Here is a 15,825-nt window from a genome sequence, read left to right on the forward strand (position 1 = left end):
TGTGAAATAGAAGGCATAAAGTATTTGAGTCAATAAATTACTAACTAAATCTTTTTTTTTTTTTTTTTTTTTTTGGGACGGAGTCTCGCTCTGTCGCCCAGGCTGGAGTGCAGTGGCGGGATCTCGGCTCACTGCAAGCTCCGCCTCCCGGGTTCACGCCATTCTCCTGCCTCAGCCTCCCAAGTAGCTGGGACTACAGGCGCCCGCCACTACGCCCGGCTAATTTTTTGTATTTTTAGTAGAGACGGGGTTTCACTGTTTTAGCCGGGATGGTCTCGATCTCCTGACCTCGTGATCCGCCCGCCTCGGCCTCCCAAAGTGCTGGGATTACAGGCGTGAGCCACCGCGCCCGGCCTTAACTAAATCTTTTGATTAAATCAGCTTTATAAAAAAAGTAAACGTAAACACATAAGTCTTTGTATAAGCACCCCTACATTTTTAAAAGTATATTTGCCTTTTCATAAACTCAGTTGAGTAGTGGTAACATTCATCATCACAACTTTTTAGAGGCAATGAAATTGATGTCATTTGAGGTCTTCATCTCATATTTATCTTTTATTTTCTTATTTTGTCATGTTTAGCAAAGGATAGTAAAAGTAGAGGATCATTCAACCCAGAAATACAGGGAAACTGATCCTTGTAAATAGCACCCTTTATAGACTAATGGATATTTTAAGAGCAAGATGTGCTAGAAAGGAAAATAAGGCAATCTCTTAATGCTGTGCCTTTTCTTCCATTACATTTTTAGATTATATATTATCCCTTGTTTATTGCTGTAGCTGGGGAAAATATTTTTATTGAAATAGATTGTTTTTTGAAGTTTGCTATATTAGGTAAAAATAAATACCAAACTTCTCTGTCTTCAGTTTAATAGAAAAAAAAAAATCCCTTGTTACTCTGTTTCTGCCTTACTGTTAGTAGAAAGATTTATGATTAAGTAATTTTAGTAGGACAACATTAAGAACAAAAACATGAACCAAAATACTTTTTAAAATAAATATACACATTTTTACTATATATAGACACATATATAAAAGTATATATACATATATGTATATATGTGACTTCAATAACAGGAAAATAGATTTTCCAGATGAAGAATCTAAACATCTCATCCATAACAAAAGGTTAGGCTCTATACCAATGCTTGAATGAAAACTGTAATATCATCCATTTAAAAAAATGCCAACACATGCATAATTTTAGGCTGTAAAAATGAAAATATTTCAGAATTGATTAACAAATGGTGGAAGTTAAAGTTGTCTCTTCCCGACCTGCACTTTGTTTTCTGTCTCTTGCCTTTTCTCACATTTTATTTTTCCTTCCTATCTCAACAATATACCCCACCTGCAGTGTGCCCAATGTGGACACATACCTGCTTTTTTCAGGCACTGTTTTGGACAACATTTCCCTACTGAGCATTAAATCACTTTTTCTTAAATACGTACTAAAGATTTCCATGGCTGAAAAGCTAGTTCCACATACATTAATAATCCTTGAAGAATTAAATCAGATACAACCTCTACATCAGCACAATATTTCAAGGTGGTAAGGGAGTGCTACTGCTGGGTTTGTCTTCACTTAATAACTTTATTAATGATGTGGATGAGTGAACAAATATGAAAAGAAAATTTATAGGTATTACATACGTAGATTCTGCAGAAACAAATAGGCTGGAAGGTAATGACTGTAGAATGACCTAGAGAGGTTAAAAAAAGAAAATAGTAGTCCAATATTATTCCACTTTTAAGTAAATGAGACCATTAAGCTCTTTAAAATAACCAGTAAATAAAAACTCAAAGCAATGATAGCTACATCAAAAAGTGAGGGAAGAGGGGAAATTATATGTTGCAATGTTACAGAGTACATTAAAGCATTCAGTATATTTCCTGAAAATTTCATAAGCACAGTTCTTAATGTTTATTCATAAATAAACAAAACCAAACCAAAAGCCATAGTTCATTTGTTTCTAACTAAGAGTACAAATTATTTATGCGGAAAAGTACATATAAGCTCACATAAATAACACGAATAATGTTTTCATTGTGAAGATATTCATAACGTTCAAATGACAAGGTCTTAGGAACTCTGCACCTTCATTAATTTTAATCAATATTTAACAATCAAGATTGTTTTCAATAAATCATGATCTAATAATGAAAGGGGGAAACTATTTGTTTTAACTTTCATTTCAGTTTTACCCTTTACTCACAAGTTGAAATTCATTCTCACTCTTTGCAAACTATTTTGAAACACTTCCAGGTAAAATTCATATAAATATTTTATTTTTCCTAATTTTTGGAAAAATTTTAGACTATTACAATCTGAGTTAATAGCCTAGTTCCTTTGTTGATCCAGTGTAAATAAATATTTCTCTTTTCTTGCTGTATTAAAAAACCCACAGTCTCTATAGCCAAGTCTATATCTATATCGATATCTATCTGTATCTGTATCTATCTATGTGTATCTCTATCGATGTATGCATACACAAATAATATCTGTGGAAGAATTTTTTTTCATGTAGTGTAATATCCACAGCTCTTCTACTTTAACCATAACTCAAGTTAATAACATTTTATTGTCTTTTGTTAGTTTTACCTGGAAAAGAAAGCACATCATATACAATATTATAAAATAGAAATAAAACTAAATATAGCGTTTTAGAAGGTAACAAAGTTTTATGTTTAAGGATATTAAATAAAATCTATTTCTTCCAGTATATTTTTTCACAATCTGTCTTAAATGGAATCTTCAGATATCTTAACAAGTTGACTACTAGATTTTGTAGTGTATTCCAATCAGATATCTATCTGAGGCCACTCTTTTTTTTAATAATCTAGGCTTCTGTAGACAATGTGGAAACATTTTTAAAATGATGACGCCCTCCTTTTCCTTCGTAGCTAAATTAGTACACAAAATTCTAAATATTTCCTTAGTTTTAATAATAATAAAGCAATATAAGATTCACCCTCTGTATTCAATTCTTTGTTACCAATTCTGCTACAATGAGAATTTTTGAAATTCTTAGTTATAACCTTTATTTTTGATAATTGCATTTAAAATGCAATGATAAAGCAAATAATTAAAATGCTAGGAATAAAATTGTCCTTTATTAGTTTATCATAAAGTTCCATAAATTTCAGCTCTCCTTGATTTCTCACTATTCTAGTTCATCAATTTTGTAATTAATCATTAAACATTATTCTTTCTCTATATTAAAAATATTAGCAATTAAAAAATCCCTATTTAATATTATATTCATTGTTTTAGTTTGATGCTTTTTTTTTTTAGTGATATGTACAGAAGACAAAAAAATGATGTGCAGCCTTTGTGTTCCATTTATTGTTGCGTAAAATAAAATTTCATCAATCTTGGATAAAAATTCTTAGGCCTATGATTATATTTGAAGGAAACACTAACTTCTGACATGATTATTTAGAACACACATTTTCTTAACTTGTCTTCCATTTTAGTGGAGCTATAAATAGCTTTGGCAAATTTTTCTGCTTTGCTGTTAATTTAACTCAGTAGATTTATTGAAATTTTAAGACACCACGTTACGCAAGATTTAGGGTATGTGACTACTCTTTCCTCCTGTGTGGAGGTCGACATTGCCACAGTCTAATATCATAGTTCCCCTAACTGGTCCCCTCCCAGAAGTGAGTTGCAAGTTCCTGCTGACTTTCAGAATTATTTCTCCATGTTTATGTCATTTTGATGCAAGAGAGGTCAATACACAGGTATGTCATCAAAATAATATTTAGACTATGTCATTCCCACAAAAAACAACTTATATGCCATGTTTTACTCACTACCAAAGTCTTGTTGAATACTACTTGTTTCATTCCTCTAGCCAGGAGACAACCTGGCAGGTATACTGCCTGAGCACCAAGAAGTTATCATATAATTTGCGTTTCACTGACCTCTCTTACCTTGTCAAATTACCCACAATAATTTTGGTAAAGTTGCATCTAACTTGGTATGGACTAAAAATACTTGCGTCGCCCCCAAAATTTGTATGTTAAAACCCTAATTCCACTGAGATGATATTTGGAAACAGGGCCTTTGGGAAATAATTAGGTCATGAGTCTCTCTCTCTCTTTCTCTCTCTCTCTCTCTCTCTCTCTGTCTGGTCTCTCTCTCTGTCTCTTTATGAGGACATGACAAGGAATGGAGGTTTTACCTGTAACCATTGACTGGCACCTTTATCTTGGACTCTCAGCCTCCAGAACTCCGAGAAGTAAATTTCTATTGTTTAAACCAGTCAGTGTATGTTGTTTTTGTTGTTGTTATAGCAGCTTGAATTAAGACACAATTTTCCTAAAACTTAAAAATGTCGGATTGGTGGATAAAATTGTATTTCATTGTGCTTTTTTCTTCAAGCCTTATACCTCTGACTCCAAACTCATAGTAACCAGTGTAAGACATGGTAGAATCTTTCCACTAGTGCTTGGGACACTATTTATAGTATCTACCCAATCTAATTTTAATGAAAAAGTTGAAGGTTGGTATAAAAAAATGTTTATCATCTAGGAGTTCCAGGCTCAATTCAACATACTTGTGATGGTCTCATGTAGTAGCAGTGACAGTCAACTACAAATGGTGCCTGAACAGGGACATTTCAGAGACTATCAGGGACATACAGAGACCTGAAAGGACCTGGAGGGACCTGAAGAGGTCTGCAGGGATAAACAGAGATAAGTAGAGGTAAGTAGAGAAAAGTAAGTAGAGATAAGTAAGTAGAGAAAAGTAGAGATAGGTAGGGAAAGACGGGGACTTGCAGGAACTTGCAGGAACTAACAGGTACCATAGGGACAGACAGAGACAGATAGGAATAGATAAAGACTAGCAATATAAGGTCAGTGCCCTGAAGAGGTACTGGTCTGTGTCCTAAAGAGGTACAAAAGTAGAGACTAGCAAAGACTAGGAGAGATTTGGAGGAACAGACAGGGACAGATAGGGACAGATAGGGTCCTATAGGACTAGAGCGAGGAAGGTCTGCTGGAACAGAAAAAAACTAAAACCAACTAGATGAACGAGAAAGCCCATTACAACTCTGTTGGCAGCGACATAAGGTTAGTGCTCTAAAAAGGTACTGGTCAGTGCCCTAGAGGTACAAAGAATGGGAAGTTTTTAAAACAGGGAAACGAGGAAGAATTTGGCTATTTCTTTTCTCTTTTTTGTTTGTTTGGAGTTTTGGTATGTACCATCTTTTTGTTATTTAGAATTTTTTGCCCCACCTACAGTGCCTATCGAAAATGGTGAACAGAAGAGGGAGAATGAAAATTGCCTTGTATCGTCTTCTTTGGTGGCTACAGAAAGGCTAACTTTAGCTTTGGCTTTCATGGATTGTAAACGTGCACTGGCACCTGTGAGATGTGCAGAGGACTTGGGAGGCTTTCTCAGAGCTTGTCAAGATGTGGGAACTGAGCTTCATTGCTCTGCAGTATTGACTCAGGCAATAGCAAATTTGGTGGCTGACAGATCTAAAAGAAGCCAAGGGTCAAGCCCTAAAGTGGGAAAGTGTCATAAGTGTAGAAAACTTGGACGTTTCAAAAGAGAATGCCGTCAGACCTCTGTGAACAAGAGATCTTGTAACATAGTCCCCCTCTTAACAGAAAAAAAATGCCGGACTTTGCCCTCGATGCAATAAAGGAAATCATTGGGCTAATCAACACCACTCAAAATTTCATCAAAACGGCACCCCCCTGTTGGGAAGCAAGAAGGGGGCCTGGACCCGGGCACCTCAAACTATGAGGGCGTTCCCTGTCCAGGCCACAACTCCGTTTCAGGGGTGGGTTTCCAGAGGCACATGGATTCCCTCTCCCCAGGAACACCTGGAAACGCAGGATTAGATCTCCCAGAGAACCAATTACATTAAATGAAAGAAACAAACTCACTAAGATTCACATTGGTATTTGGGGATCTTTGCCAACAAGATACAAGGGATTGATTTTGGTAAAAGCTGTCTTAACTTACAGGCCCAGGAGTTGTTGATTTTGATTGTGAAGGAGAAATTCAGGTAGTGGTAATGTCACAAGATCTTTGGGTTTTTGAACTGGGACAATACGTTGCTCAATTTTCGCTTCTTCCCTGTAAATTGTACCCTTCTCCACATAAGAAGAAGCGAGGTGGTCAGGGATTTGGAAGTGCAACTAGGAGAGAGATTTATCTATCACCACCCATAGCATCTAGTGGACCCACCTGTACAGTGCAAATTGAAGGTTTAAGGATTGCTTTTTGCTATACTGTTTTACGAGAAGGATAAGCCTCGATTTGCTTTCTCTGTGCCGTGTGTTAATCAGAAAGAGCCTGCTTCTTGTTCTCAGTGGAAAGTTTTACCCCACGGCAATTAACCAAAGAGGCAGAAGCTGAGTTACAAATGTTTCAGCAATGGCGTGCCTCCCGGCTACAGCAAAAAAAATAAAAAATAAATAAAAAAGAAAACACTTTTGATTCTGTTTGGTAGATTTACTAACGTGGGGACGAGGGTATACTTACATCTTTGCAGAAGATGAACAAACCGAGTGGGTGCTCCCAAGGTGTGTACGACCGTTGAACAGGAGACTGGAGGGACCCATGGATCCCAACCATGGACCTTGTTCCCCCAGTATGAACCATGAACCAGTTGAATCTGAATGCAAAGATGGAATGAGGACCACTAGAAGCAGGGAGCTCTCTTCTTCCCCATGCTAGCCTTTCCTTAAAACAGTTTCTTTTGTTTTTTGTTACCATTTCTATGTTCGTCTCTTCATTCAGTCTAGTAATGACGGTCTCAAGTAGTAACCGTGGCAGTCAGCCACACTTAAATCTTAATGCTTTTAAATTCTAGAAGGAACTCAAAAAGAGACAAACAAGTCAGTCATAGTAGTAATACATGGAGAATGAATTGTGAAATCTAAGAGACTGAATATCATGTCAAGCATAAGCTTTTTCAAAGCAATTAAACTGGGCTTTTAATGACATTACTTAGACTTTCCAGACAAAATGTGTAACAATACAGCTAATTTTAATAAAATGACTTTGAAATCCCCAAACTCAAATATAATCTCATGAAGTAATTGTTTGTGATAACACCTTAATATGTTTTATACCATCATTATGAAAAACAGTGCAAGAGAAAGGAGAAAAAATTCTTTATTGTGAGTTAAAAACTTTGAAACCTAAGTCAATCATTTTTATTGTTTCAAGAAATATTTCCCCACGGCTACTTTAGTAGCAAAATCAAAGTCAGGAGAGCCCAGGCTTCTGTAAACAAAGTTTAATTGTATCCCCTCCCCCTTTCTTCTCTGTCTCATAATTTTCTCAGTACTTTTTAAGGAGCGAGAGGCATCCCCATGAATGACACTGTTATAGGTTCTAAGGCAGAGGATGTGATGATGATGATCTTTGGGAAACGGTGAGGTGAATGTTGTCCACGAAGCTGCTTTCTAGTAGGGTGTCTGTGGGAAACTATACCCTTTCTGTGGGGTCTTCTGAATGTAGCTAATACTATTTTTGTTTGGGCTGGAAGTTTTTTATTATTATTGTTTTTACACTTTAAGTTCTAGAGTACATGTGCATAACGTGCAGGTTTGTTACATATGTATATATGTGCCGTGTTGGTTTGCTGCACCCATTAACTCATCATTTACATTAGGTATTTCCTCTAATGCTATCCCTCCCCCATCCCTCCACCCTACGACAGGCCCCTGTGTGTGATGTTCCCCGCCCTGTGTCCAAGTGTTCTCATTGTTCAATTCCCACCTGTGAGTGAGAACATGCGGTGTTTGGTTTTCTGTCCTTGTGATATTTTGCTGAGAATGCTGGTTTCCAGCTTCATCCAAGTCACTACAAAGGACATGAGCTCATCCTTTTTTATGGCTGCATAGTATTCCGTGGTATATATGTGCCAGATTTTCTTAATCCAGGCTATCCTTGACGGACATTTGGGTTGGTTCCAAGTCTTTGCTATTGTGAATAGTGCCTCAATAAACATATATGTGCATGTGTCTTTATAGTAGCATGATTTATAATCCTTTGGGTATATACCCAGTAATGGGATGGCTGGGTCAAATGGTATTTCTAGTTCTAGATCCTTGAGGAATCGTCACACTGTCTTCCACAATGTTTGAACTAGTTTACACTCCCACCAACAGTGTAAAAGTGTTCCTATTTCTCCACATCCTCTCCAGCACCTGTTGTTTCCTGACTTTTTAATGATCGCCATTCTAACTGGTGTGAGATGCTATCTCATTGTAGTTTTGATTTGCATTTCTCTGATGACCAGAGATGATGAGCCCTGTTAAGTTCTATCCTCTCCATATGTCCATGGGGCTGTTGGAAATATTCTTTTTCTGGGCTTCATGCTGTGCCCAGAGCATTTCCTTTTTCCTTCTCCTTTTTAAGGCAAGGATGCATCTGTTTTCATAAGGTTTGTGATAAAACAACACTCAAGTTTTGCAAGTTACATGATTGTCATCATCATCGCACTAATTTTTTGTGAAATATGCATTTTAATTACTTCCAAGAGGGTTTATTTCTAATGAAAAAAATTAAACAATAAATAATTTTAGACTTACCCCATGCAAGAAATGACAAATTCACTGAAGCAAACATGTTTAGGCTACACTGTATGCAATCTACAAATTGCCTGCTCAGTCTCAGTTTCTTGCATATATTTCTCATACATCTAAATGTTAATTTCCACACTTCTGTCTCTCTGAATCCCTGGCAAATGGCAATGGCTAGTGACTTTGCATTCACCTATCAGAAAAACATGAATCCGGACACACTTCCGGGAGCGTGGGACGTGGTAGGAATTTACTGGATAATAGGAACTGATATGTTATTTTGAGAGTGCTAAAATTCTCCCAGTGAATGTAACTTTGCCTATATTTTATATAACTTATTGGTTTTGGTTTGATAATTAAAAATATCAAAATTATCCTGGGGCAGGAGCCAAGGATGGTATTATACAGTGAGAAGTGAGTCCCACATGTCAGTCTTGTCATTTTCTTCCTCAGATAAAGTGCAGAATTTTGTCATCAGTAATATGAAAGAGAGATTTTACAGAAAAATTGCCAATTTTTGTCCATGAAGATGAGGGCAATATGCTAAGTATCAACGGACTAAAAGATGGCATATATTTTTTAGTGGGACATCCATGCAAGACTGCATTTCTTACCTGTTGACTATTACAGTAAATAGAAAATAATTATTTTAATTAAGCGACTACAATTTAGGGCATTTGTTGTAGAGATTTACAAATGTTTCACATTGCTTGACTTCAGGGGGCGCCATTTTTACATCATCCATTTCTAATAGCATGGCCAAGAGTATACTCCAAGTAACAAATGAGGTATAGCATATGAGACAAAGTAGAAACACTTAAAGGGTTAAAGAAATTTTCACCCGTATCTCTATGATGCAAAGTAAAGCAAAAGACAAAGAAACAAGCAAAAAAGAACAAGTGGTCGCCAAGCTGGACTGCAGTGATAAAACCATGGCTCACTGCAAACTCCGCTTTCTGAGCTCAAGCAATCCTCCCACCTCAGCCTCATGAGTAGCTGGGACTACAGGTGCCCACCACCACTCCTGGCTAATTTTTGGGTTTTTAGTAGAGACAGATTTTTGCCACATTGGCCGGGTGGGTCCCAAACTCCTGAGCTCAAGCAATCCACCCACTTCAGCCTCCCAAAGTGTTGAGATTACAGGCATAAGCCACCACACCCGGCCGCTGCATTTTTTTTTAATGGGAAATAACAAGCATATTCATTACATATAAAATGATATATTTAGAAATTTTGTAGGCTTTATAAATTCTGTTGGATAATGGAAAATTTTTTATTGTATTTTTTGTGTATGAGAACATAATGTTATAAAGTAAAATGTACATAGAGGGAAATGGGATTGTGAGGATAGTAACCATAGGTGAGGAGATGGATGAAAGAAAGGTCTTACACTGCTGTAAGGAGCTGTTACTATATCTTCTTCATATTTTTATAAAACATATCTTATTAGAAGACTTAAGTTACTTATTTTTTTCTTGTATGTATATATTCACCTCCATTTTGAAGGCTATTAGTCTGGGAAACCTACAAGAACATTGCCGTAGGGAAGCTCAAGTATGTTAACAACAACAAAAATAGTTCTGTGAATGCCTTTACATAATATAAGGTCTACATATTCTCTCTAGATCTGTGCGCCGTAAGACTGGATTTTGAAAAGCTGAGGCATAGACTGATAGCTCTTTACCACACTTGTTTTTTCTTCTTTCTGGATACATAGCTTGGCTATATTTCCATGCAACTGTGTCCCGGTTAATGTGTACCACTTTTAGAGGGTGGTACATATAAATGTTTCTTCCAGTTCTTTCAACATGTGTCATTTGAAAAAGGAGAACTCTGAAGCCCTCTAGGAAGTTGGAGCTACAATACTGGAGGCCAGTTTCCTGAATTACTCCCTGGTAAAAGCCACCCAGACAAGAAATGCCTTTATTTGAATGTTATTAATGAGAAACACATTTTAAACTTTCAGCCACTTTAACTTTGAGGATTGTTTGTTAAAACAGCTGGTGTTACCCAAACTGTTATAGGAGTCTACTAAATATCATTTCATTTTTTTCCCTTCTCAAACTCAGAATGAATTGGGAGATAGCCGTGGGCATTAAAACTGTTTCAAGAAGTGCAACTTAGCGTTCAGGGCTGACCTCATGAGCTTCCAGAGACATCAGAGTAAGTGACCCTTTTTCTAGTTTCGAAGCTCTGTTCTAGTTCTAAGCATGCAAATAAATTTTAAGCAGGATTTCTTAGCCTGCAGGAGCTGAGGATGATTAATAAGTCCTGCTGTTATGCATAAATGCACTGACCTATACTGTGCCCTTCAGTCAAATTGTATATTGTTTAATCGTGATAAATGAAGTGCACCAGGCACAGATAAGCTAGTCCCTGGAGTATGTCCAGATACACCTGAAAGAAGAATGACTCAAGCTGGGTGTGTAAAGCTACACTTTGGAGGATAGAGCTTCCCACAGGTGCAATGGAACTCTCACTTCTCACTTGCTCAGAAATTATGATCTGCAGTGTGAGTCTCCCCTGGTAAGGAAACGTGTCCAGCTCCTTGAAACATGTTCTAGAGAACAGCATTCATTACCCTCCCATGAACTTAAACATGCTTCTTGGCTCCTGTGCATTTTAGGTAAGTAAGCTTTGATTTCCCCAGGTGGTGTCGGTGTCTAGTCTTTTCATAAACTTGCACTTACTATTAACATGGAGAGGACATCCACAGGCCGAGATACATTGCCATGTCTTGCATTAAAAGCAAATGAACCTGAAGTTTTTTTGTAAACAACTTACGAAGTTTCATTTGATTTGATTTGATTTTTAATAATTCCCTGAATTGCTGTGATAATTAGAGTAGTGAATTCATTTCTGGTATGTTTTAAAAGTAATTCAAGGAAAATAATTTTGCAGAATCCTGATTTAGATAATATGAAGAGTGAATAGGAAAATGATGAAATTGTTGCTGCTTTTTACAGAGGCTTAGAATCATGGAAATCATTTGCTTTCAGGTATAAAAGGGAATAATTTCATTTTCTACTTTTTACTTTAAATTTCTGTTATCTATGTCTACATGCTTCTGTCCATTTCTTCATAGTTTGTTTTTTAAATAATATGCTTCTACCATTCTCTGAAAGCTATTTTAATTTTTCAGCTTGAATATAAATTGGTTGATACTGGCTGCAAATTATTTTTGGTATTCTAATTTGTCTATTTTTCTTTTTCTTGAAATGGAATAAATAAGCTTCACACACACACACACACACACACACACACACACACACACACAAAAACCCTAAACAAACAAAAAAAATCACACAGCACCAGCAAACTACTAGGATTTACTGTAGGATAAAAGCTCTACATGGCCCTGCATACAAACTTTCTGCATACTTCTGCAAATTTTTATGCATTACTCAATCCATTAAAAATCACCTTGGAAGAAACTGCAAACACAATAGAAACTAAATGAGATAGTCACAGAGAACAACAAAAATAGTAATTTAAGCTCCCATACAACATCAAGTGTGTTCAGTCTATTTTTGGTTCTTCGGGTTCTCTTTAAAATTGAATTGAGTTTGTATATGCATATGTATGTAGGAGTGGAGGATGGAATTAATTATCCCAAACATCCTACACTCACTCCTCTAATATTTCTTTTGTTAACATGCAAATCTGTTCTCTTCATTACGGTGATACTGCATTTACATTACAACACAATTAGAGATCATTAACTTTCTCCTTTATAATCAGCCATTTTCACAGGCCTTTGATATACAAGCACCTATAATATATTCTTACTCATCTCACACTTTCATTTACCAAAGTGTCAAAACAACATTTTTACATCATTGATATTTGTTTTAGTTTCTGCAAGCTGGCTGTTAGAAGATGATTACTTCTCTTAAATTACCTCTTACCCTCATCTTGCTATCTTTTTAAAAGGAAAGAAAAAGCACTATAAAAATCAGACACTTTGGGTTCTGAACCTTTTATTTTGTGTGAAAAGATACTTATTTATGTATGCTAAATCACACTGATGCGGAAGACAAACTGGCTCTTCGTTATTTTTTTTTTTGGCACTTTATAGAGGAAATGTGTGGAGAACAGATCTTTCCTAAGGTATTATATTCATGTGCCTTAAAGATTAAGAATACTCAATGCGCCAAGAAGTGCTATATACCAGAAAAGTTTGTATCAATTAATGTATCTAAATTAAGTTAAAGTTTCTTTCAATTTAATGTGCTTGCAGATGTAAAATTGCATGTTTAAGTTTTGCAGTTATGTACTAAATCTGGTGCTACACTTCTAATGTCTAAAGGTTTTATTCAATTTCAATTTATTTGTTTTATAGTTTGCCAGAATGTGCTTATGAAAGGCACTCTCAGTCATAAAAATAAATTATAAGCAGACTGGCACGTAACTATTTTTTTAAATAATAAACTTTCTGATTTTAGAGACTTGTATTCTTTTATAGGTCCTGGTTCTCTTTCACTCTCTGACCTATAAGAACCCATACAGCGTGCATTGCTGTGTATGGAAAAGCAGTAAAGGGAAGTACAGCCACCTTTTAGGTCCCATGAATAGCAAAATCTCTTTGACTAATCTCTTGTTTCAGGGTACGTCCACTCCTTGTTTAAAGAATGTAACTGGCTGGGCTTGGTGGCTCACTCCTGTAATCCCAGCACTTTGGGAAGCCAAGGTGGGCAGATTACAAGGTCAGGAGTTTAAGACCAGCCTGGCCAATATGGTGAAACCCCATCTCTACTAAAAATACAAAAATTAGTTGGCCGTGATGGTGGGTGCCTGTAGTCTCAGCTACTCAGGAGGCTGACTCAGGAGAATTGCTTGAACCCAGGAGGCAGAGGTTGCAGTGAGCCAAGATTGTGCCACTGCACTCCAGCCTAGGGGACAGAGTGAGACTCCATCTCAAAAAAAAAAAAAAAAAAGAATGTAACCACACTCAATAGTCACTAGCACATTGTTCTGAATAGACTATATACTGAAAGATATCTGCTGGATATAGAATGACCTCAGGAAAAAGTCTAGACACTATAATCCATCTCACTTGCCAGCATTTAGCGACCTTTCAGCTTCATTACTGACTTTCACCCAGTGTCCCTCAGGTGAGTGACTTGAGTCCTCTTTCATAATATTTGGCAGGAGAAAAGATGAGGTCATTGCTCCATCAATCCCGTCATGTCATGTCTGCTCATGTGTCATAGCTTATAAATAGTCACATGGTTCTGTCCAAGTGCAAGGGGGGCATTGCAGGTAGAGGTCCGTCTCCATGTGCCTTGAAAAGAAAATAACCAAATATCAGGGGAAAACAATAATATGAGCCATAGTGCCTGATATATACTATGACATCATAGAGATTTAATGAGTATTAATCAGGATTCAATGGCTGCAGGAGACAAACAGTTTCACAAACGAGGGCAATTAACTGGCTCATAGGCAATATCTCAAGAAAGGTGGGGTATTGTTATACTTCATGTGTTGCAGAAACATAGATGCTCCAATTTTACATGTTCTTTCTGTGTATGTAACATTCTTTGCCTTCTGGGTCTCAGCTTTATCTCTCAGGTTAACGTCTGTCACAGCTGTAGAGATAGTCACTGTCAATTCCTAGTTTCACAGTCTCCCATTTTCCAACGGAGTCTTACTCTTTCTTTGTTTCCAGTTCAAATGTATTATTGAAGAATCCTGGTTCTTAATTTAGCTTCGGGACCTATTGAATCAGTCTGTGGAAGCTGGAATAATATGATTAGGGCAGCAGAAATGAAGAATGCTTCTTTAGACCAATCACTATGTCCATGAGGCAGACTAAGGACTACATGACCCTAATAAATTCTAATTTCTAGAGCTTCTTATCTGGATCCTGAAGCAGTTTCGGCCTTTATACTATGAGAGACTGAATACACTAACAGACAATGGTGGTTCCACACACAGAAAATCAACTCTGACCTCTGCAGCAACCAGTCTGCAGCGATTGGTCCAAATGCTTAGGAATTGGTGGGTAACTTCCAGCTTCCCTAAGTGTTTCCCTCCAGCTTCCAATTTAGAACCAACCAGAGAATGCTAATTATGCAGCTTCACCCATCAAATAGGATGTTTTGCTTCTAGTTATCCAACCTTTAGATTCCCCATGACAATAATTTCCAACCAGGGCATTCCTGCAGCCTTCTGGTTTTCCCACGATAAAGCTTTCTCACTGCCTGCCTGCCTTTGATTCGTTGCCATATTGCAAGTGATGGTGGCCAACTCCCTGGCTACAGCAAGCTCTGACTGAATAACCTGTATTTCTTTTCATTTGAGCAGTCTTAGCTTATTTTTATAACTATTGAGGAAACGTTGTAGCAACCCTTACACTAAATGAACTTAATTATGCCAAACCTTTACTTACTACTTAAACAAATACTCTTCCAGACAATGTTACCAAACAGTGTCCCCTTTGTTGTGAAATCTTGTAGATACTGTTTAATTAGTAGAATCCTCTTACTTTCTTTTCCCTGTCAGTTTTACAGTATCCAACTGGTCCCGTGTATGATAGAAAACATTTCTATAAGGTAACACAGTATATTTCAACCCACACTATTACTATTGATGAGATTACTTTGCTATTCACATCTCATAACATTAGCAAAAATGCACAAATCTTAAACTGCCTTCTTTTTCCCCTCCAGGATGAAGGACAACCACATATTTAGCTGACAGTGATTCAAACTCTCATCTTGTCCAAAACTGACTTAAATGGCATAACTTTAATTAACTCTGATCTTACATTATCTGTTGACAGTTTTCACCTAGAATAGAGAAAATTAACCTTGTTTTGGATATTCTCTTATCTCTGAAGACTCCATCTGCCTGGGTTGCTGAATCAATTTTTGTAACTGGAACTCACAATCCAGCCTGAGGCAAAAAGTGAAGAGTATATGAGAGAGAGAACATTTATGTAGATAGTAGACAAGCACTAGAAATTGTGCATGATTTTGGAATGAAGGGCTCTTAGGTTCATTTTCGACTCTTAGCTGCAAGTATAGAAATTAAAAAGAAAATTAATGTTTTATCTGACTCCTTAAGAAATTATAAGTTAATTTAAACATATCTACTCCAGTGAAATAGAAATGAAATCTAAAGTTAATTCTCAGGCATATTGCTTTGCAAGAAATGCTCCTCTTCATAGAAAGCTGCCCAAGTAAACAAAATACTCCCTTACTGTAAACATTTATTCCTCTTTATGAAAAGTTACTTGTAAAAGAATTTTAACTAGGTATTGAGATTT

At 36.6% G+C, this 15,825-nt stretch overlaps 1 long non-coding RNA gene across 2 annotated transcripts in view; it reads right to left on the reverse strand.

Annotated features, from left to right (window-relative positions):
- The window catches only part of LINC02197 (long intergenic non-protein coding RNA 2197), a 125,726-nt gene that overhangs the window by 19,057 nt on the left and 90,844 nt on the right, over positions 1–15,825 (reverse strand). Inside the window, exon 3 of one of the 2 annotated variants that reach the window (NR_134268.1) lies at positions 11,768–13,836. The exons of the other annotated variant lie outside the window; for it this stretch is intronic. This is a non-coding gene — a long non-coding RNA (long intergenic non-protein coding RNA 2197). Of the gene's footprint in view, positions 1–11,767; positions 13,837–15,825 lie in introns of those variants that run through there. 2 annotated transcript variants of the gene reach the window in all.

Source organism: Homo sapiens, chromosome 5 (assembly GCF_000001405.40).
Source record: "Homo sapiens chromosome 5, GRCh38.p14 Primary Assembly".
Lineage (NCBI taxonomy): Eukaryota > Metazoa > Chordata > Mammalia > Primates > Hominidae > Homo > Homo sapiens.